The following is a 24,102-nucleotide window of genomic DNA, read 5'->3' as shown; positions in this document are numbered from 1 at the left end:
TCTCCCCTTCCCTCCTTCTTCCCAAAACAGTGTGTAAGTAATGGAGAAATTATGGATCTGTTAGTCTCAATCTCCTTTCTCAATGAAAGGAGTCTCAATCCAGACCCCAAGACAGGGTTCCTGGACCTCAAGCAAGAGAGAATTCAGGGTGAGTCCATACAGTAAAGTGAAAGCAAGTTTATTAAGAAAGTAAAGGAACAAAAGAATGGCTACTCTATAGCCAGAGCAGTGGTATAAGCTGCTCAATTGAGTATACTTAGAGTTATTTCTTGATTATTTGATAAACAAGGGGTGGATTATTCATGAGTTTTCCAGGAAGGGGTCAGAGATTTCCCGAAACTGAGGGTCCCTCTCCTTTTTAGATTATGTAGGGTAAATTCCGAATGTTACCATGGCATTCGTAAACTGTCCTGGTGCTGGTGAGAGTGTCTTTTAGCAAGCTAGTGCATTATAGTTAACGTATAATGAGTAATGTAGATGACCAGAGGTCACTTTCATCACCATCTTGGTTTTAGTGGGATTTGGCCGGCTTCTTTACCACATCCTGTTTTATCAGCAGGGTCTTTGCGACCTGTGTCTTGTGCCAACCTCCTATCTCATCCTGTGACTAAGAATGCCTGACCTCCTGGGAATGCAGCCCAGTAGGTCTCAGCCTTATTTTACCCAGCCTCTATTCAAGATGGAGTCGCTCTGGTTCAAATGCCTCTGTCAGGTTCTCATGGAGGCAGGAGGAGGGCTGTATAAACTTGCAGGTTGTCTTTCTCTGCAGGTTGCTGCTGCTGTGCAGCTGAGGTACAATCCCTCTCGTTCTTTGGGCATCAGCCTCTGTTCTCCCTACATGTGCTGTGTAAGTGTCTGCAGCTGGTGTAGTTTGTGGTCTGTTCTCTCAGCATGGGCAATCTATGGTGATAGCTCCCATGAAGCTAGGCCATCTCTCCCTGGGAAAATTCTAACCAGGGTACTGGTGCCATGGGAAGGCCATCTTCAGAACAGAACTGGCTGCTGTTTAGGGAAGCTTCTCTTTATCAGGCACCTAAGCAACTGAAAATTAACTAGAATGCTATACATTCTTTCCTTAACGTTTTCTTGAAGTAGAAAATTAAAAGCAGACAAATAATTATTTTGAAAAGTAAGTCTTCTTGTTAAAGACAGCAGAGTAAAAACACTTATGCCATTCCCCTTTCTAAAAATCCAATGAAAACAATAAATGGAACAAAAATAGAAGGACAAAACATCTCCCTATCATGAATGAAGTGAGGAAACAGCTATAATCCCAAACCACAAACTCTGAAGTATACCTGCCAAATATTGTGAGCATGGATGGAGATAAGGGAGACCCTTAATGCTGACAAATGCCTCTTTGGATCTCAAACAGGATATATATTTCTCTAAAATTAAGTGAGGTAAGCTAGAAAAGTCAAGCCAATTGTTCCTTGATTAGAGAGAAGGGCTTGAAGGGCGTGAATAAGACCAGGGGAGAACAGAGACTGTCCTTAGACATATACTGAGTTTGAGATGCTACAGATTATTCAATTTCTCCTTTGTACTTTTCTGAATTTTTTGAGTTTTTTTATGAATACTTTTTGCTGAAACAGTAGTCATTTTAATAATCACTAAATGCTAAACAACCACCCCCACCCCCCACCAAAAAAAGTAACAACTGGTTTTGTTAACTGTGCAGAAGGGTTAAAGGATAATAGCTACATTGGAAATCTTAGAGAAGGATAGCCTTTATTATAAAACCCTAATAGGCTATAGAGTATAAAAAGATAAATCAGACCAGAGTCTGGAAGAAGGGGGAAGAATAAACTGAAGGCCAAATTGTTCTGCATTTAAATATGGGCTCAAGTAGTAGGACTTGGCTGAGTTTATTACTCTCAAGAGTCAAACAGAAAGAGAAGGAGTGAGGAAACCAAGAAACAGTGGGGGTCAGGCTGGGAGTAGAGGAAGTACTAGAACTTGGGTTGGCAGAGTTCATCTTTGTAGTTCAAGAAGTCTGAAGTTTTACAGTTATTTGCATCACCTGGATAGAAGACTTTCTTGGCTTGCAAAGCTTTCTGCCACATCCATAAAGATCTTGTTTTTATTTACTTGTTTGTTTTCTTTATTTCTTTATTTCATGAGGCTGAATAGAAATGAAGGAAACCAAAGGAATAAGACAGCACTTGTGGGTAGGAAATGATAACAGAAGTCTGAGCTCTGAATCAGAGCTAATTAGGGAAGCCATGAGCAACTCCCATCTTCACCCCCAACCCATCCTTTCCCTATTCCAGACTCCTTCCCTATACTGCAAAGGGGTTTGAGCCACTTGAATCTGCACTTCAGCTGACCTCTAGATTAACTGCACTATAAGCTTTAGGTTGGGAAGGGGAAGGACAGCGCCGTTTTGACTGAGTCCAGCTAAAGGTCATTGCAAGGAACAGAGAAGAAGAGGCAGTGCAGGGAGTTCAACATGGCTTCTGTTCACAGGTGACCACTCTCCAGGTGAGGCCACCTGTATCCTATCTACCCACCCACTCTCACCCTTTCTAGACCACTTCCTTTCTCCCAGTTCATCAATCACAAGTAAAAAAAAAAAAAAAAATCCAACATGTGAGAAAGAGGATAACACAATGATTCTTACTGGTATTTGGAGACCTCCAAGGTCTCAGTCCTTGCTAAGATACCTGAGCAATGTTTTAAGTCCAGAACACATTCCTTCTCATTTTGAGGTCTTTGTTCTTCTGACAAATCTTCTGTCTTAAATAGTAACGGTAATGCTAATTGTTAAAAAAAACTATTGCTACTAAAAGCCCAAAGCTCAAAGACAAGCTATCTCCCAACACCCACTCCCCATTATGCAAATGTAAAGAAGAAACGGGATAACCAAGAATTTTTTTTAAACTTTCAGTTTAAAACATAGAAGAATGGGAAACACTCAACAGTTGTGAATGAGTAGCAAATAGCAAACCTTGGTGTATAGGGATAGCAATGAGACTTACTTGGTTGGTGATTCTAGAAGCTGCTCTCTGGGATGATCTCCTTGTTAATGATCCCCTATGGATTCATCTTTGATGGGCAATAAAGAATTGCTTTCTTGAGGGACGCACAGCTTCCTCAGACCTCTTCATGCTACTGCAGGTCTAGAGGCCTGGAATTTGTTTTAAAAATAAAAATTATACACTGTTTTCAGGCAGGCTTGAGGTGTCTTTGACAATGTGGTTTCCTAAAAATCTTAGTTGGCTTCTGTTCTATTTGCTTCCTATCAATTGCATATGTGTGTAGACACAGCCAAAGATGCTGTGTCCACAGTCTTTAAACCTGAAGATCCTTCCCCCTTTACTTCCAACATCACTGATCTATCCTTTTCTAGTTCTTCTTCAATGGCTACTTCTTTGAGACAATTTGAAATCATAGCTTCTCATGGGAAACACTCCCCTGAATCTGAACTTTTTTAATGGGTCCAAGGTGTCTTGCAGATAATCCTTAAATAATGGGAGAGGGCCCAGTGGGCATGCCTTACAAAATGATAGTAATAATAATAATGATAATAATAATGGGAGAAGGACTTAGGGTCTTTCTGGCTAAGGTTGCTACTTTGAAGTCACTATTTCTGCTTCTTTGGTGCAGATAAAGAAGCAGTTGGCCTTGTCAGTGTTTCAGTGCTCCATGTCATGGAGCTTCTCTCCATATTGGGTTGTGGCCACAGTCAAATAACACCTGCCTTGGGAAGGTAGTATTGGCAAGTTGTACCATATATAGTACTTTGTACATAACAAAATACATTTTGCCTTCTGTCTTCCTGCCTGCATTGAGCCCAATTCTGCATTTTTGATTCTTATAGATTTTAGATTGACCCTACTTTCATGGATGAAATTAATTAGTCTCTTTTCTTTCTTCCTTTTTTTCCCCTTTAGTTGCAAACTATAGAAACCATTTGGGCTGGTTTGAGCATAAAAGGAAATTACTGGGAGTTATTAGGTGCTCGGTGATTCATTGGGAGGTCTGGCAAAAAAGAAGCTCAAGGCTAAGCTCATAGGAACACAGCCCGGCATCTCACACAGAAGTGGCTTGATGAGGATTCTACTGCCTCCACAGCTCCTGCCATCATCTTCATCTGCACCATAGATGCTCAGAACCCAGTCTGTGTCTGCATGTTGCTGACTTCCAAATGAGAGCTTCATGAGAGTGTATTTGGTTGGTAGAACATAGGTCCCAGACCTTCTCCCTGGGAGCTGGAAGAGATGCTGGGAAATTCTGCCCTGGAAAAATAAAACTCACAATGTGGGAAACAAAGAAAATGTACAGCAGGGGTTTAACAGAATGACAGGTATCTGCTAAAGAAAATATTGATTTTTTTTAAAAAAAAAAAAGACAATTTTCCCTTTAGAGCCCCAGAAAGATTCAGGCCTTAGAGGCACTAAGTACTATAGAAAATGAGGCTGAAGCATGGGGCTGAAACTTGGTTTGGTTGAAGGTCTCTGGAAGGCAGAGCAGTTTAACCTCTAGGTTCCCTCATCCACCCCCATACAGCCAGACAATTATCCCTCCACCCTTCTGTTCTCCTCCCCTCTTCCCTTAGAAAACTTGAAGTTTATTCTCTAGAGAAGTTCCAGGCTCAGTGACACCAGGCCAAGGTGCTGGACTGAAAACAATTAGATTAAGTTAAAATCTGCTTGATAAGTGTACAAGTAATCTATTTTCAAAACCTAAGAGATGTTGTCAGCTATCTCTAACTATATGCCAGCAGTAGGCCTTCTAGGAAACTGTACTATGATTCCAGGAAACTCGATTGTGGGCTGGGGAAGGACAATAAAGTGGATTGTATGATCATCTGCTTCTGTTACTGGAAAGGGATCCTGATCCAGACCCCAAGAGAGGGTTCTTGGATCTTGTGCAAGAAAGAATTCAGGAGTCCATAAAGTGAAAGCAAGTTTATCAGAGAAGTAAAGAAACAAAAGGATGGCTACCCCATAGACAGAGAGCCCTGAGGGCTGCTGGTTGGACATTTTTATGGTTATTTCTTGATCATATGCTAAACAAGGGGTAGATTATTCATAAGTTTTCTGGGAAAGGGGAGGTTCCCAAAACTGAGGGTTCCTCCCCTTTTTAGACCATATAAGGTAACTTGGGTGTTGCCATGGCATTTGTAAACTGTCATGGCACTGCTGAGAGTGTCTATTAGCCTGCTAATGCATTATAATTAACGTACAATGAGCAGTGAGGATGACCAGAGGTCACTTTCATCACCATCTTGGTTTTGGCCGGCTTCTTTATGGCATCCTGTTTTATCACCAGGGTCTTTATGACCCGTATCTTGTGATATCAATCCTGCCGACCTCCTATCTCATCCTGTGGCTAAGAATGTCTAACCTCCTGGGAATGCTGCCCAGCAGGTCTCATTCTCATTTTACCGAGCCCCTACTCAAGATGGAGTCGCTCTGGTTTGAACGCCTCTGACACTTCCACTCTCAAGGAATGGTGTTTTTATTCTCTTCTCCCCAGAATGTACTTCTGGTCTGTCCCGCTGTTCCATTCCACAGCATTTTAGGAGGTTCTCAAGAGTGTCCTAAACAAGCAGAGAAGAATGGTGAGACTTACCCATTCCTAGTTTAAGAAATGAGTGAAATGGGGTCTGAGTTATATCACAGGTGAGCTAGACATCCTCGAAATAAAGAGCCAGAGTATCAGGCAAACCTTCTAATAGCTAAAATGAGCGTACTTCTATTCCTAGCTACAGTTTAGACTCCTGTGGTACAGTTGGCTTTCCCAGGCTCCCGGCGTCCATGCTGTCTCGGCGCTATCTCGCAGCCTGACGCCACGCGCCATCTGCTGGCCTTGAGCTGCATAGCTCTAGAGTAACTTCAGAGGCCACGGGGGAACAAAGAGCACTCGCCTACTTGACTGAGCTCCGACAGGCCGTCCCTCTGCTTCAGGTGTAGGCGTGAACAAGTCCAGACCACTACCTTAACAGGTATGAGGAAAATGAAGACTCTCCTATTTTGGCACGTATCTCAAAATTGTCATCATTCACTTAAAGTGCATAACCACAGAGACCTTCCTACTTATTTTCTCTGGTGTTTTGAAGTTTTGTCATGGGAAGAAAATAGCGCTTCTAGAAACATGAACTAGACTAATTACTAATGGATTCTTTCTCTTACATTTTGTACAGTGGAATAAGGGCTATTAATTCATTAAGCAGTTGGCTTGGAACCTTCTCTGACGACTCTTTGCAAAGAGAGAGAGGTCTAGAAGACTTGTGGGAAGGGAGGAAGTGGTGGTACCTGATATTTTCCAATTTTCCGCAGGTCACTGATGGGAACTTTGACCAGCATCCTTGTTCCTCCCTCAACTTATGGTCACCCTAAAAAAGCTAAGGCATAGATTTCAAATTCTGGAGCCAGTTTTTGTATTTAGGTCTCCAAGTACAGAGAGAAACTGGCAGACAGGGGTGGAGAAGTATTGAGAACGAATTCGGACACCCTGAAAGCGGAGTTCTAGATCCAGTGTTGCCAGCAACGAGCCAAGAGACCTTTCTTCACAAGTTGATTTACCTTTCCATGTTTCAGTTTTCTCATAATTCCTGCCCTTATTCCCTTCTCACCACCCCTGATCCCCTCCCCTTTCCTGATTGGGTAACAGGACAGGAAGCAGCAGAGCATTCTATGAAGCTTCCTCCTCAACGTCCTAGAGTAGCGGGTCTCAGTCTTCACTACACAGTCAAGTCCCATGGTGCATTTTTCAAACTTGCATACCTGGCCCTTCCTGTGCTGAATTCTGGTCTGCCCATAATTTGCTCCCTCCTTTCTCACTGTTTTCCTTTCTCCCTTCCTTGTTTTCTTTCCTATCCCTTGCTGTCTCTGTTAGAACTTCTTTTTCCTGGTATCTAGCCAATCTCTTAACCCTGTTTTACTTTACTGTCCTAAGATGCTGTCTTCTCATGCCTACATGTACTTTCTTTAAAAAAAAAACTGTTTAAAAAACATTGTGTGGGAGGAGCCAAGATGGCCAAATAGGAACAGCTCCAGCCTACAGCTCCCAGCGTGAGCGATGCAGAAGATGGGTGATTTCTGCATTTCCATCTGAGGTACCAGGTTCATCTCACTAGGGAGTGCCAGACAGTGGGCACAGGTCAGTGGGTGCACGCACCATGCGCGAGCCGAAGCAGGGCGAGGCTTTGCCTCTCTCAGGAAGCCCAAGGGGTCAGGGAGTTCCCTTTCCTAGTCAAAGAAAGTGGTGACAGACGGCACCTGGAAAATCGGGTCACTCCCGAATACTGCGCTTTTCCAACGGGCTTAAAAACTGGCGCACCGGGCCGGGCGCGGTGGCTCACGCCTGTAATCCCAGCACTTTGGGAGGCCGAGGCGGGCGGATCACGAGGTCAGGAGATCGAGACCATCCCGGCTAAAATGGTGAAACCCCGTCTCTACTAAAAATACAAAAAATTAGCCGGGCGTAGTGGCGGGCGCCTGTAGTCCCAGCTACTTGGGAGGCTGAGGCAGGAGAATGGCGTGAACCTGGGAGGCAGAGCTTGCAGTGAGCCGAGATCCCGCCACTGCACTCCAGCCTGGGCGACAGAGCGAGACTCCATCTCAAAAAAAAAAAAAAACAAACAACAAAAAAAAAAAAACGGCGCACCAGGAGATTATATCCTGCATCTGGCTCAGAGGGTCCTACGCCCACGGAGTCTCACTGATTGCTAGCACAGCAGTCTGAGATCAAACTGCAAGGTGGCAGCGAGGCTGGGGGAGGGGCACCCACCATTGCCCAGGCTTGCTTAGGTAAACAAAGCAGCCTGGAAGCTCGAACTGGGTGGAGCCCACCACAGCTCAAGGAGGCCTGCCTGCCTCTGTAGGCTCCACCTCTGGGGGCAGGGCACAGACAAACAAAAAGCAGTAACCTCTGCAGACTTAAATGTCCCTGTCTGACAGCTTTGAAGAGAGCAGTGGTTCTCCCAGCACAGGCAGACTGCCTCCTCAAGTGGGTCCCTGACCCCTGACCCCCGAGCAGCCTAACTGGGAGGCACCCCCCAGCAGGGGCAGACTGACACCTCACCCGGCTGGGTACTCCAACAGACCTGCAGCTGAGGGTCCTGTCTGTTAGAAGGAAAACTAACAAACAGAAAGGACATCCACACCAAAAACCCATCTGTACATCACCATCATCAAAGACCAAAAGTAGATAAAACCACAAAGATGGGGAAAAAACAGAGCAGAAAAACTGGAAACTCTAAAAAGCAGAGCACCTCTCCTCCTCCAAAGGAACGCAGTTCCTCACCAGCAATGGAACAAAGCTGGATGGAGAATGACTTTGACGAGCTGAGAGAAGAAGGCTTCAGACAATCAAATTACTCCGAGCTACGGGAGGACATTCAAACCAAAGGCAAAGAAGTTGAACATTTTGAAAAAAATTTAGAAGAATGTATAACTACAATAAACAATACAGAGAAGTGCTTAAAGGAGCTGATGGAGCTGAAAACCAAGGCTCGAGAACTATGTGAAGAATGCAGAAGCCTCAGGAGCTGATGTGATCAACTGGAAGAAAGGGTATCAGCGATGGAAGATGAAATGAATGAAATGAAGTGAGAAGGGAAGTTTAGAGAAAAAAGAATAAAAAGGAAGAAGCAAAGCCTCCAAGAAATATGGGACTATGTGAAAAGACCAAATCTACGTCTGATTGGTGTACCTGAAAGTGACAGGGAGAATGGAACCAAGTTGGAAAACACTCTGCAGGATATTATCCAGGAGAACTTCCCCAATCTAGCAAGGCAGGCCAACATTCAGATTCAGGAAATACAGAGAATGCCACAAAGATACTCCTTGAGAAGAGCAACACCAAGACACATAATTGTCAGATTCACCAAAGTTGAAATGAAGGAAAAAATGTTAAGGGCAGCCAGAGAGAAAGGTCGGGTTACCCTCAAAGGGAAGCCCATCAGACTAACAGCGGATCTCTCAGCAGAAACTCTACAAGCCAGAAGAGAGTGGGGGCCAATATTCAACATTCTTAAAGAAAAGAATTTTCAACCCAGAATTCCATATCCAGCCAAACTAAGCTTCATAAGTGAAGGAGAAATAAAATCCTTTACAGACAAGCAAATGCTGAGAGATTTTGTCACCACCAGGCCTGCCCTAAAAGAGCTCCTGAAGGAAGCACTAAATATGGAAAGGAAAAACCGGTACCAGCCGCTGCAAAATCATGCCAAAATGTAAAGACCATCGAGACTAGGAAGAAACTGCATCAACTAACGAGCAAACTAACCAGCTAACATCATAATGACAGGATCAAATTCACACATAACAATATTAACTTTAAATGTAAATGGACCGAATGCTCCAATTAAAAGACACAGACTGGCAAATTGGATAAAGAGTCAAGACCCATCAGTGTGCTGTATTCAGGAAACCCATCTCACGGGCAGAGACACACATAGGCTCAAAATAAAAGGATGGAGGAAGATCTACCAAGCAAATGGAAAACAAAAAAAGGCAAGGGTTGCAATCCTAGTCTCTGATAAAACAGACTTTAAACCAACAAAGATCAAAAGAGACAAAGAAGGCCATTACTTAATGGTAAAGGGATCAATTCAACAAGAAGAGCTAACTATCCTAAATATATATGCACCCAATACAGGAGCACCCAGATTCATAAAGCAAGTCCTGAGTGACCTACAAAGAGACTTAGACTCCCACACATTAATAATGGGAGACTTTAACACCCCACTGTCAACATTAGACAAATCAACGAGACAGAAAGTCAACAAGGATACCCAGGAATTGAACTCAGCTCTGCACCAAGCGGACCTAATACACATCTACAGAACTCTCCACCCCAAATCAACAGAATAAACATTTTTTTCAGCACCACACCACACCTATTCCAAAATTGACCACATAGTTGGAAGTAAAGCTCTCCTCAGCAAATGTAAAAGAACAGAAATTATAACAAACTATCTCTCAGACCACAGTGCAATCAAACTAGAACTCAGGATTAAGAATCTCACTCAAAACCGCTCAACTACATGGAAACTGAACAACCTGCTCCTGAATGACTACTGGATACATAACGAAATGAAGGCAGAAATAAAGATGTTCTTTGAAGCCAATGAGAACAAAGACACAACATACCAGAATCTCTGGGACACATTCAAAGCAGTGTGTAGAGGGAAATTTATAGCACTAAATGCCCACAAGAGAAAGCAGGAAAGATCCAAAATTGACACCCTAACATCACAATTAAAAGAACTAGAAAAGCAAGAGCAAACACATTCAAAAGCTAGCAGAAGGCAAGAAATAACTAAAATCAGAGCAGAACTGAAGGAAATAGAGACACAAAAAACCCTTCAAAAAATTAATGAATCCAGGAGCTGGTTTTTTGAAAGGATCAACAAAATTGATCCTTTGCTAGCAAGACTAGCAAAGAAAAAAAGAGAGAAGAATCAAATAGACACAATAAAAAATGATAAAGGGGATATCACCACCGATCCCACAGAAATACAAACTACCATCAGAGAATACTACAAACACCTCTATGCAAATAAACTAGAAAATCTAGAAGAAATGGATAAATTCCTCGACACATACACTCTCCCAAGACTAAACCAGGAAGAAGTTGAATCTCTGAATAGACCAATAACAGGAGCTGAAATTGTGGCAATAATCAATAGCTTACCAACAAAAAAGAGTCCAGGACCAGATGGATTCACAGCCGAATTCTACCACAGGTACAAGGAGGAACTGGTACCATTCCTTCTGAAACTATTCCAATCAATAGAAAAAGAGGGAATCCTCCCTAACTCATTTTATAAGGCCAGCATCATCCTGATACCAAAGCCTGGCAGAGACACAACAAAAAAGGAGAATTTTAGACAAATATCCTTGATGAAATTGATGCAAAAATCCTCAATAAAATACTGGCAAACCAAATCCAGCAGCACATCAAAAAGCTTATCCACCATGATCAAGTGGGCTTCATCCCTGAGATGCAAGGCTGGTTCAATATATGCAAATCAATAAATGTAATCCAGCATATAAACAGAACCAAAGACAAAAACCACATGATTATCTCAATAGATGCAGAAAAGGCCTTTGACAAAATTCAATGGCCCTTCATGCTAAAAACTCTCAATAAATTAGGTATTGATGGGACATATCTCAAAATAATAAGAGCTATCTATGACAAACCCACAGCCAATATCATACTGAATGGGCAAAAACTGGAAGCATTCCCTTTGAAAACTGGCACAAGACAGGGATGCCCTCTCTCACCACTCCTATTCAACATAGTATTGGAAGTTCTGGCCAGGGCAATCAGACAGGAGAAGGAAATAAAGGGTATTCAATTAGGAAAAGATGAAGTCAAATTGTCCCTGTTTGCAGACGACATGATTGTATATCTAGAAAACCCCATTGTCTCAGCCCAAAATCTCCTTAAGCTGATAGGCAACTTCAGCAAAGTCTCAGGATACAAAATCAATGTACAAAAATCACAAACATTCTTATACACCAATAACAGACAAACAGAGAGCCAAATCATGAGTGAACTCCCATTCACAATTGCTTCAAAGAGAATAAAATACCTAGGAATCCAACTTACAAGGGATGTGAAGGACCTCTTCAAGGAGAACTACAAACCACTGCTCAGTGAAATAAAAGAGGATACAAACAAATGGAAGAACATTCCATGCTCATGGGTAGGAAGAATCAATATCGTGAAAATGGCCATACTGCCCAAGGTAATTTACAGATTCAATGCCATCCCCATCAAGCTACCAATGACTTTCTTCACAGAATTGGAAAAAACTACTTTAAAGTTCATATGGAACCAAAAAAGAGCCCGCATCGCCAAGTCAATCCTAAGCCAAAAGAACAAAGCTGGAGGCATCACACTACCTGACTTCAAACTATACTACAAGGCTACAGTAACCAAAACAGCATGGTACTGGTACCAAAACAGAGATATAGATCAATGGAACAGAACAGAGCCCTCAGAAATAACGCCGCATATCTACAACTATCTGATCTTTGACAAACCTGAGAAAAACAAGCAATGGGGAAAGGATTCCCTATTTAATAAATGGTGCTGGGAAAACTGGCTAGCCATATGTAGAAAGCTGAAACTGGATCCCTTCCTTACACCTTATACAAAAATCCATTCAAGATGGATTAAAGACTTAAACGTTAGACCTAAAACCATAAAAACCCTAGAAGAAAACCTAGGCATTACCATTCAGGACATAGGCATGGGCAAGGACTTCATGTCTAAAACACCAAAAGCAATGGCAACAAAAGCCAAAATTGACAAATGGGATCTCATTAAACTAAAGAGCTTCTGCACAGCAAAAGAAACTACCATCAGAGTGAACAGGCAACCTACAAAATGGGAAAAAATTTTCGCAACCTACTCATCTGACAAAGGGCTAATTAATATCCAGAATCTACAAAGAACTAAAACAAATTTACAAGAAAAAAACAAACAAACCCATCAAAAAGTGGGCAAAGGACATGAACAGACACTTCTCAAAAGAAGTCATTTATACAGCCAAAAAACACATGAAAAAATGCTCACCATCACTGGTCATCAGAGAAATGCAAATCAAAACCACAATGAGATACCATTTCACACCAGTTAGAATGGCAATCATTCAAAAGTCAGGAAACAACAGGTGCTGGAGAGGATGTGGAGAAATAGGAACACTTTTAACACTGTTGGTGGGACTGTAAACTAGTTCAACCATTGTGGAAGTCAGTGTGGCGATTCCTCAGGGATCTAGGACTAGAAATACCATTTGACCCAGCCATCCCATTACTGGGTATATACCCAAAGGACTATAAGTCATGCTGCTATAAAGACACATGCACACGTATGTTTATTGTGGCATTATTCACAGTAGCAAAGACTTGGAACCAACCCAAATGTCCAACAATGATAGACTGGATTAAGAAAATGTGGCACATATACACCATGGAATACTATGCAGCCATAAAAAATGATGAGTTCATGTCCTTTGTAGGGACATGGATGAAATTGGAAATCATCATTCTCAGTAAACTATCGCAAGAACAAAAAACCAAACACCGCATATTCTCACTCATAGGTGGGAATTGAACAATGAGAACACATGGACACAGGAAGGGGAACATCACACTCTGGGGACTGTTGTAGGGTGGGGGGAGCGGGGAGGGATAGCATTGGGAGATATACCTAATGCTAGATGACGAGTTAGTGGGTGCATCACACCAACATGGCACGTGTATACATATGTAACTAACCTGCACGTTGTGCACATGTACCCTAAAACTTAAAGTATAAAAAAAAAATTGTGTGTATGACTGGCTGGGCTCACTGAAAAAATGTTGGAATATATTGTAAAGCACATAATGAAGATGATGATGATGACGATGATGAGCTATGGTTTACAGAGCACTCTCTTTTTGCCAGGCAATGTTGAAAGTCACTTCACGTGTATTCATTCATATAACACCCTGCCAACTCCATGAGGTAGAGACTATTATTATTTCTATCTTGCAGGTAATGAAATGGAGGCACAGAGATGTAACATAAAAATGAAAGCTAAAAATTACCCATAATGCCATGCTGAGAATTCAAACCCACCTAGCATCCCTATTTCTAAATGAATGGTATGACTCTTCCTTCATGCATACATTTATTCATTCAAAAACCACTTATGCCACAACTCTACATTGCCCTGGGGCCAGTTGTGGGGATCAAAGGACCCTTTCCAATAACTGCATTTGAAATGTGGCCTTTTGTCACTGAAGGCAGAAGGAACATCTGGTCAGTGGAAGGAGAACTTTGGCTGACCCTGATATGCATCTCTATAGGTGAAGATAAAATTCACCACTATCCTACATCCTTACTTCCATATCCAGCCATATGACAAAAATTCAAAAAAGGACTCAAGGTCTTGCCAAGAATGGGCTGTCCAGTGATGGCAGCAACCATAACACACACACACACACACACACACACACACACACACTGCATGTTTAATATCATGGAAAAATGCTTATGATGTATTAAAGGAGAAAAGAAGTCAACAAGACAGAAGGTGCAGTGTGACAGCAAACATTATAAAAAAGCCCAGGATCGGTGGGTGGGGAAGTGCAGGGGCAAATGCACCAAAAAATAATTTAAAAAAAAATGAGTGATTCTGCCTAAAGAAAGCTGATAGATTTTCTTTTTTGAAAAAATTACCTAAATTTCTGCAATGAAGATGCATTACTCATATGTTTAGGAAAAAATATTTAATCATGTTATATTGTTAAAAAAAAGTTGCACAAATTGTTTAGGAGTTAATGTCAACAAATTATATTCATGTGAAATTCAGAGTTTCTGATTATATTTTAAAAGGGAAGAAAACTAATATTTATTGGCTAAGCATTTTCCTTTTTTTTTTTTTTTTTTTGAGACAGAGTCTCACTCAGTCACCCAGGCTGGAATACAGTGGCATGATCTTGGCTCACTGCAACCTCCACCTCCTGGGCTCAAGTGATTCTTCTGCCTCAGCCTCCCGAGTAAGTGGGATTACAGGCACTCACCACTATGCCCAACTAATTTTTTTATATTAAATATTTTTACTAGAGACAGGGTTTCCCCATGTTGGCCAGGCTGGTCTCGAAATCCTGACTTCAAGTGATCTGACCACCTGGCCTCCTAAAGTGCTGGAATTACAGGAGTGAGCCACCCCACCCAGCCTGACTAAACATTTTCTCCTACATTATTTTATGCAAGTTTCAGGGCAATCTTGTTCAATTGTTTTGGGGACAGTAAGTAATGTACCCAAGGTCACTCAGCTGAAAAGGGTCAGAATGCCCAATTCCAGTCAACTCCCAAACTCAGACTCTGTTATCCAGGCCAATGGTGTTTCCCCATTTTATTTTTTAATCTGAGCATAATATACTTTCATCTGTAGCAGTGGCTTTTTTTAAGTAATGTTGGAGGCTAAGGGGTGGGGAGGGAGGCAGGAGGTGCATATCAGGGTCAGCCAAAGGCCCCCAGGTGATCCAGATATGCTCTTACTCTGCCCCCAGCCTCTCTAAGAGTGTAGTATTATCATCAGAGTACTGATGGCCTGCAAATTTGACAACTTGATTTCCAGGGTACTGGCAATGCCCATCATGCCAGCAAAATACCTCCCCAGAGACACTCTTTGGCTCAAGGTTCTTTGTGCAAATGTCTATGAACATAAAAATGCCTTAAACCACATCACTCCTGAATATAAATAAGTTTGTCAACTTATCTCCCAAGTAGTGAAAGAGAATGACTATTGAACATCCAGAGGAAGATAGATACTGTGAAACGCAAGAAGGACATTGAAAAGCTACTAGAATCTACACGTCCTTCTTCACGGTCCTGCCAATGGCTGGACTTGATTATAATATTTAGGTTTCGATGTTTATATCCTGTCAAGGGAAAGTAGAATATCACATTCTATCAAGTCACTTGAAAAGAACCACTGATTTACAACTCCAAGGCACTAACAGAGTGTTTGATTTAAAGGAGTGTGTCTATGTAACTGGAATAAACACACCACACTCCAGAAAGTCTACAGATAGCTTCTCTCTGAGTAAATGGCAGAGAAGAACTAAGACATGTTTATATTCCTTCCCTTCCCTAAGGGTTATCAGGACCTTTTTCATCACCTTGGATGGAGAACAAATGATCAAAAGATGGATGACCCCACGTCCCTTCCATATCTCCTTCTTGGTATGCCAAAAGGCTTTCCAGCAACACAGGGCAAGCTAATTATTTTCTTCTAATCAATCAGCTATTTTAATGATGTGTGACACTCCAGATCTATCAGTACCATTAAGATAATGTCTGTTCTGTTAGGCAGCAGCTAGTTTATAGACAACTCACTAGCCAACCTGGACCTTTAAAAACTTTAAACTCATGTTCATCTGAGTATGTACTCCAAGGCCTCAAAGGAAAATCAGGCCCGGAGGCAGCATCTGTGTGGCCGTGACTCAAGGATTATTACTAAATGCAGGACTGCTCCAAAGGCCTCCCTCAGGATTTGAAGTTCCCACTGGTTCCACTGAATTTTTTCTTGACCTTCAGGAGAAGTAGCTGTTATTGTTATTATTTTTTAAATTTGTCCCTGAGCATTGGGTAGGCGTTGCCTTCCATTCCACAGGACCTCAGAAACTGTTGTCCGAACAGCTGCTTTTCAGCAGCTTGCAAAGAGATAGAAAGATCTGGAATGTTGCTGGGGTGTCCCAGTCCTCTCCTTGGGGAGAGGGATGAAATGGACAGGAGAACATGAGGGTCCTTGGGAGGCAGGTCAAGAGAGAGAATGTTAAAAAAAAGTTGAGAAGTCTGGCAGAAATGTGGACCTAAGTTAATTAAAAGACATTCAGTTTTGATGCTCACATTGCCTTCGAAGATGTAGAGCTTTCCTCTCAGACTCTCTGTACCTGGCAGGGAACAGTGCCTCATTTTCAAGGGCCCGAGTTCCCGACCATGAGCTAAACAGAATCCAATGGTGGCCACTGCGGGGAAGGAAACGTGGTGAGAAAGGGCCTGACAGGCTGTGGGCTGCTGCTGCTCCTCCTTCTTCTCCTCCTCACTTTCTCTGCTGCTTGGGCGCCTCTAGCTGCCCCACGCAATCAACTGGCAAGCTCACAGGTCTCTGTCTTACTGGCTGACAGTGACCCTGAACAGATGTTTCACCTGAAGCCTTTACATCCCTCTCCCATTAGGCAGTAACTGTACTAGGGCCATAGGGAGAGGGGCGCTGGTCTGCTTGGCCACTGCTGGAAGCAGCTTTTGTTCTGGATGGTTTCAGCTTGAAAATCTGCCTGAAGAGTGCTTTCCTTTCAAAGGATGGGGAAATCCTATTTTGGCCGGGGCACAAGCTGCCTTCACTTCTGAGTGGGGCAGGTGGCGGGGAGGGAGCATCCCATGCTTCCTGTTCACAGACCATCCTTTGTTCAGCAGGAGGAACCAAGGGCAGGCATCGCCACCAAGGAGTGGCCAGCTTTCCCTGGCCCTTCTCTATGACATGTATAAAATCTGTAGGCTCCCTACGCATGTGTATATCATGTGAATATCATGTTCTGCACTAGGGCTGAAAATGGAAAGAGGAATGAGATAAGCTTTTTGTCCTCAGAGAGTTCACAATGAAAGGGAAGGAGTACAGGAAGATACACACATAATTACAAAACAGAGGTCTATGTGATAGTGTGAAGACACAAAAGAGAGAATATAAGAGAAGACTTCACAGAAGGAGAAAGTGTGGTGTTGGTTCTGGAAGCAGAATCAGTAGGAATTTGGAGATCAGCCAAGGGGAAAAGGCAGCCCAGATAGAAGCAACTGCATGTGGAAAAGCAGGGAGGTGTGGGGAAGTTATGCCCTATGCAATCATCCCTGCTTTCTGTAAGAAAAATTAAGGAGAAAGTCAAACTTGTATTTATTCCTTTAATATTTTTTTACATCATCTTAAATTTCAAGTGCAAGGGTGTGGTGAGTAACCATAGATTTACCCTACCTGGATCTTGCAGTTTATTCCAAGAGACAGACAAACAAATAAACAGGTGCATGCATTACAACCCGGGACAGGTGCTTTGAAGTAGGCAACCAGAGTTCTGTAATAGAGAACAGAGGAGGGTTTGCCCCAGTCAGGATGCTAGCGAGGCCTCTTGGAGTTGAGGGGAAGGATCAGCTATGGAAGAGCCTTTCTGTCTAAAGAAACAGCCCCTATGCTATGGTCCTGAGGCAGAAAGAAGCTTGGAAAGTTTGGGGGGATAAGAAAAGGCCAGTGTGGTTGGAGGTATAGAGTAAGAGGTTACATATAGGAGATATCTTTGATGAGATGTTAGGGACCAGATCATGAAGGGACTTCTAGGTCAAGGCAAAGGGTCTGGGGTTTCTTCCAAGTGCAAAGAGAAGATGTGGAATAGTTTTAAACAGGAAAGAGACATAATCTGAATTTATCTGAAAAAATGAAAACTGCTGGCTTTTGTATGGAGAATGCATTTGAGGAAATCTAGAGAAAAAAATTAGATCAATAAAGAGGACTTTGCCCGTATCCTAGGTAAGAGCTGATGGTGGCTCCACCAATGGTAGCAGCAATGGAAATGTATGAAATGAATGGGTTTATGATATTAATTTGTCATTCCGGTTCTGTTTCTGGTGTCACAATACTTTCTGTTTTTTGGATGTCATAATTTAAGCACCTCAGAGAGTAACACATCACTCATCTTTATTCTTCTACAGTAACAAGTACTTGACACATGTCCTTGGTCTAGAAAGGATGGAGGAGCCACAGACAGCTGAGGTGCAGGCTCCAGCTCAATGGCCTGTCATTACAAGAGGCTCTTGGAGTTTCTGATCTTCTTCGCCTCTCTCTATGCCCAACCCTGTCTAGAGTGCACCTCAGCATGATTTTAGAAAACAGCATGGAGAAAGAGAAGTTGAGGCCAGTCTTTCTCCTCCGATCACCAAGTATCTATTAAAAGCCATTCCCTCCATAGAGCCTTTTCTTGCTTCCTGAGATCTCATAGAGGATGCTCCTGGGACCAACCTGCTCCAGGCATTTCTGCAGGTGGTCAGTGCTGGGCTGTTACATTGTCTTCTCTCCATCCTTGACCTTGAAGCCTTTCAGATTATCCTCCAAGCACTGCTCCAAAAGCCCAAGAGTGCATACCAAAGGGGATCAAAAACACTCAGGGTGGTTTATAATTTATAATCTAGCTCCTTCCAAAACTCTCGAGGGAAGCCTTAGCCATCCTCAGGTTCCTAACTCACTCCTAAGAAAGTCTCCACACAACCTCCCCTTTTGATAAATATGACGATTTAATTTATGTCATGTTCTCTTTGATCCAACTTCATTAATCTTTCATTACACTTTGCAATGAATGGAAGACAATTGTGCGTGTGTGTGTGTGTGATCTTCAGTATATAGAAAACATTAGCATTTATAAAGCACTTTCCCATGCATTTTCTCATTTAGTCCTTGCTACAACCCCATTTTACGGGTGAAAAAATGACTCTCAGAGAGACAAAGTTATTTGGTTATCAGCATACAACTTATAAATTCCAAGAAAGTAGAGGCTGTGTCTGCATTGTTCTTCATTATATCTCCAGAGTCTGGCACAGTGTCTGACACATAGTAGACATTTGATAAGTATTTGTTGAGATAATTAACAAATGAATTAATGATGCCTTGACACAGCTGGGATTAAAATTCTAAATTCTAACCTCTGTATCCACCATGTATTGATTCCCTCTGATAAAACAGTGGGTCTACCTACAGAAATCAGAATAAATGAATTATTCAACTCTGTCTTGTTGTTTAGAAACATTTTTATGTTACACACATCAAAGCCATACCATGTATTAGTAACTCTACCCATTTAGTAATTTGTAGATTGAATGAGGCCAGGCAGAGAGGAATTCCCAGCCTGTGGGTGTCTGACTGTGCTCTGGCTTCAAGTCCCTTTGTGGCACGACACATCCCTTCTCCCAACTCCAGCCCAAAAAATATGCATGTGTGCTCACATAGTTTTCAACACCATTTTATGCAGTGCACAGTCAGACTCCCTGCTCAAGTTCAAGATTGTCTTTGGGGGCTTTTTTGCCAAAAGTAGTGTTTTAATGCATAGTAAGGGGCCAGGTTCAGTGGTTTATGCCTATAATCCCAGGGCTTTGGGAGGCCAAGGTGGGAAGATTGCTTGAGCCCAGGAGTTTGAGACCAGCCTGGGCAATATAGTGAGACCTGTCTCTACAAAAAATAAAAAAAAATAGCTGGGCATGGTGATGTACACCTACAGTCCTAGCTCCTTGGGAGGCTGTGGCAGGAGGATCATTTGAGCCCAGGAGTTCAAGGTTGCAGTGAACTGTGATTGCACCACGGCTCTCCAGCCTTAATGACAGAATGAGACCTTGTCTCAAAAAAAAAAAAAAAAAAAAAAGCATAGTAAGGGCCTCTGATAAACTAATGTCACCATAATGTTCACAGCCAGTGCTAGCTTTCCAAAAGGAAGAAAGAAAGGAAGGAGAGACGGGTTCATAAAAAGTGGTACTCTTTATTGCATCAGTAGAGGAACAGGCAGGTCACCCTTCTACTCAAGAAACCTCAGAGAAGCTGCTGCTTAGTTGACTAGTTTTTCATTTATTTCTGTAGAATGAGAGAAGGTTGATTGTACATTAAATCCTTGCTGACCTGTGGCTAGGAGCTGAGTAGGCTGACACATTGCATCAAGTCTTGGTTATTCATGTAAATATAATCTACTTAATGATTGATTTATCCTCAGAGAATTTTGAGTCCCAGGCCATTTTTTTTCTTGCCCCTTTCCCCCACTAATATTCTTGGTAAATAAAAATAGAGTGGTTTTATAAACACTCTTTTAATAAACCCCAGAAATTGAGCCAAGACTAGCATCTACAATCCCACTTTCGGGAACAGGCCCCCTTTCCTCAGATCATTATTCCTTGTGAAAATACCACATTCAGTTAAACAGACTTGCTGGTGTGGTCAAATAAAATGGTAAAACAGAAAATAAAAAACCTTTTGTATGTAGGAATGAATGAAGTAAAATAATTCTCCTGCCAGCTCAAATACATCTAAACATCTCTGGAGTTCCATGACCTTCAAAATAAAGATGAATTTGTGAAGATTAGCAGTGACAGCCATGGGAAGGAGAGAAGGATAGCAGAGCCCAGCCAAGCCTTTAATGAGGAAAAAAGAATTCAACCATTGAGAAGTCAGAGGCCCCAAATCCTGCATATAGCAACTGAATATAATATAAGCTTCCCATATCCTGCTTGTTACCACTGTGCCCTCACTTTAGAAAGGCCATATTTCTAAAACAGAATGAAAATCTTATGCTATCCATATATAAAACATATTTTTTAAGTTTTGAAAGAAAATATATGACACACATATAATAAAATACATTTAACAAAATTATGTATATTAAAATATGTGTTAACATATACCTATATATAGGACACATATATAACCTAATAAAATATATTTAACAAAATTATATCTATTAAAATATATGTTAACATATGCCTATATACATAAAATGTATTAACAAAAAAGTTTAATATGTAGGCAAGCTGAAAATAAGATAATGATGGCAAAAACATATTTAATGCTTGCTATGTGTCAGGCACCATCCTCAGTATTTCGCCTATATTAACTTACTTGAGCCCCACAACTCCATGAGAAAGTTATTACCATAGTTTTATAGTTGAGAAAACTGAGGCATAGAGATATTCAGCAACTTCCCCAAAGTTATACAGCTAGTAAGTGGCAGAGCTGTTTATTTTAATTCCAAGTGGTCAGAATATAGATTCTAGGCTTTTAATCATTACTCAAAGAGCTCAAAATGGAAGTTGAAAATAAAATTTCTTATAGTCATGTTGGAACTGGAATACTCCTAGGGCTTAAGGAAGTGTCAGCTATGCAGGACTGATGTTGAAAGCACATACCCCATGTGTGCTGCAAAGCTAGATCCTAAATTCTGCCTAAATCCAGGTGCTGGGAAGTTCTGTCTTGATAAAACACTAGGAAAACTCTATCCACCAGGTCAGGTATGTGGCACTGCAGAAGAGGGGAAAGTCACTTATGAGAAACAGAAACCCCAAGAGCACTCTGTTCAATGGCAGGTTACATATTCATGCTACCTATATAATACAATAATGAGAAATTAACATAAAAACTGGTCCGCAAGCAAACTTTGGACCTCTTCAAAGAGATGCCCCCTATGAAAAATAGCACTCCCTGAATATGAGCTCAGAAGCACATAAGAAAACAAACTTCCATGAAAGACTCTGAGCAAATGCACAAGAATAGAAATAGTTGAGAAATCAGAAAGAGATTTTTAATATGCATTTAAAAAATATTCAACAGAAAAAGAAAGAAATGTGCAAAAAATTCTTTGAAAAAAAGGGAGATTTTTTTTAAATGGCAAATATAGGTTCTAGTAATGAAAAATATATTCACTAAAAATACTTTAGAGCCTGAATATATGAGTAAAACAGCAAAGTGACCTCCTGACATTTACCTCTAATTTACTAACTTTCCCTCAGGGAAACACTTTTCAAAGAGATAAAGACATTAAGCATATAAAAGAGAAGATAAAAAGATATGGAGATAGAATGAACAACCCAACATGTGGGCAAGAGGTATTTTTAGACAATGGTAGAAATATTTTCAAACTTAAAGAAAATTATAAATCCTTAAGTTGAAAAAGAACATGGAATCCGCAAATGATAATTAAACACAAATCTGAACCTAAACACATATCACTGAAACCACACTACATGAAAATAAAGATAAATATTACCAGAAAGAAAAGACAAATTACCTTTAAAGGAAAGATAATTAGATTATTAACAGATGACTTCTCATAAGCAACAATGGATTCCAGAAGACAATGGAATAATATCTTCTCTGTGCTTATGGGATATGATTATTATTTTAGCTTTTTATAATCTGTTAAAGTTTCACTCTTAAATGATACAAAAATAAAGATATGTTCAGACTTCCAAAAAACTAAAAATGTTTACTACTAAGGCCTTCATGGAAAGAAATACCAAAGGATATATTTTAGCAGGAACAAAATTTAACCCAGAAAAAAAGAATGAAGTGCAAGAAGCATTGATGAAAAAAGAAACATATGGAGAAATTTAGGTAAGCATTGTTGGTGGAAATGCAATGCCCTATCAGCAATAATACAGATGAGGGAGAGTCAATTTGGTCTTAAGAAGTCCTGAGGTACTTGTCTAATTCAGAGGAAAAAGAGACATTGACAAACTTCACACTGAAAATTATGTCATAAATGTAACAGGGTAAAATATGCTAATTGAAAACAATAGTATTTTCTAGTCTGTTAACCAATCATTTCTGAATCCTTTGAGATATTTTTAAAAAATATGGATTTCCATCCCCCTAGATGGTTCTCATTAAGTGTATTTTGAGTAAGCCTCTGCTTCTGTTATTTTTTACTCCACAACCCACACCCACTAATTTTGCTGAGCAGTCATAGTTGTGACAAACTCGGTCAGTGGGGCACACATCTGGGTTCTTCCTCCTTGGGTCTCCAAGATGCAGGGACAAGCTGTAAGCCAGAACACTCTGTAGAAACCAGTGCGCCATAAGGAGAAGCTCCCTGGGCAAGTGTCCTGAGTTCGTAACAGGGAAAGTCTTTTTATTCTCCCTGGCACTTAATGTTTTTTCAGGTGATAGGTTTGAGGAGGTAATTTAGTAGATCCCAATAATCGGAAACAAATTGTTTTGAAGTGACGATTTAAATTGGGTATTGGCAGGAATTAAATATTTAGGCATAATGAGTATAATTGAGTATCAGGAAGTGTTTTTTACAATGATGTAATAACTGTTGGCATTCTGTGTGTAATAGCAGGAAGGTTTAAGTGTTTGAAGTGTTTGAACAGCCACTGCTTGTGAGAAAGTGCTTTTAGAAAATATGTAAAAGTTATTAGCTCCCTTTTTAGCCTGTGTGAGAAGCAAAAGTCAATGCCTGAAAGTCCCACGAAAATACAGCTTGGCTCTGACTAAAATTCTATGTCACTTACTGGATCCTTGAGTAAAAGTCTCATGACCTATTTATAAAGAATTTCAATTGGTGGGGCCCAACTTCCCCAAACTCAGCAATAGATGCCCTACAAATGAAGAGGCATGCAAGGCCTACATGAAAATGCAAATCCACTTCTTTTTTTATACTGGTATACTGAATTTGGGAGATTTTTTAAAGTGTTTAGTGTGTTATACTAAAGCCCTCCCTCTTTATTTGAAGACCTTGGAGTATGGAGCAGTTGGAATTTAGAAACCATGACCTTTGCCTATAGGGTTGAGATTAGAGAAGAATGACCCCTCAGTTCTTCCCATTGTAAGCAACCCTAAAAAAGCAAAGTCCTGCCAATTCAATCACAATGTATTGCTATTACTACTATGAGTGTTTCTGCTCTCACCAGACTCTGAATACCTCAAGAGTGGGAGATTGGTCTTGCCAATCAGAGAAGCTCCAGGGCTAGCCTAGTGCCTGGCACATGGTGAGTACCCAATAAATTTATGTTTTTGAGTGAGAGTGAATGAATGAAGCCCCCAGGTCAATGTGCTTATCGTTA

General features: G+C 41.2%; 3 long non-coding RNA genes across 6 annotated transcripts in view, besides 1 other annotated feature; 2 read left to right on the top strand and 1 right to left on the bottom strand.

Moving 5' to 3' along the window:
* Window positions 1–24,102, top strand: part of MSRB3-AS1 (MSRB3 antisense RNA 1) — a 175,556-nt gene that overhangs the window by 79,662 nt on the left and 71,792 nt on the right. Inside the window, exon 4 of one of the 4 annotated variants that reach the window (NR_120433.1) lies at window positions 23,950–24,027. The exons of 2 other annotated variants lie outside the window; for them this stretch is intronic. This is a non-coding gene — a long non-coding RNA (MSRB3 antisense RNA 1). Of the gene's footprint in view, window positions 1–3,896; window positions 4,813–23,949; window positions 24,028–24,102 lie in introns of those variants that run through there. One more of the 4 variants, NR_120434.1, reaches the window with a different exon arrangement.
* On the bottom strand, window positions 1,713–5,799 carry LOC105369808 (uncharacterized). The gene is made up of 4 exons (XR_945035.3): window positions 5,581–5,799; window positions 4,040–4,241; window positions 2,982–3,130; window positions 1,713–2,739 (listed from the first exon to the last, which is right to left on the bottom strand). It is a non-coding gene; the product is annotated as an uncharacterized LOC105369808 (long non-coding RNA).
* Window positions 5,246–6,445: an enhancer, noted in NCBI's record as "BRD4-independent group 4 enhancer chr12:65950046-65951245 (GRCh37/hg19 assembly coordinates)". NCBI's record gives its function as "activates an origin of replication core promoter dependent on BRD2, P300/CBP, MED14 and CDK7 cofactors, and independent of BRD4, by STARR-seq in HCT116 cells {active_cell/tissue: HCT116}" and the evidence as "EXISTENCE:reporter gene assay evidence [ECO:0000049][PMID:35650434]".
* LOC105369187 (uncharacterized) lies at window positions 5,400–18,473 on the top strand. The gene is made up of 3 exons (NR_135033.1): window positions 5,400–5,630; window positions 5,714–5,953; window positions 18,220–18,473. It is a non-coding gene; the product is annotated as an uncharacterized LOC105369187 (long non-coding RNA).

Source organism: Homo sapiens, chromosome 12 (genome assembly GCF_000001405.40).
Source record: "Homo sapiens chromosome 12, GRCh38.p14 Primary Assembly".
NCBI classification, from domain to species: domain Eukaryota; kingdom Metazoa; phylum Chordata; class Mammalia; order Primates; family Hominidae; genus Homo; species Homo sapiens.
The sequence above is the reverse complement of the archived record's forward strand: the minus strand, read 5'-3'. Positions and strand labels throughout refer to the sequence as shown.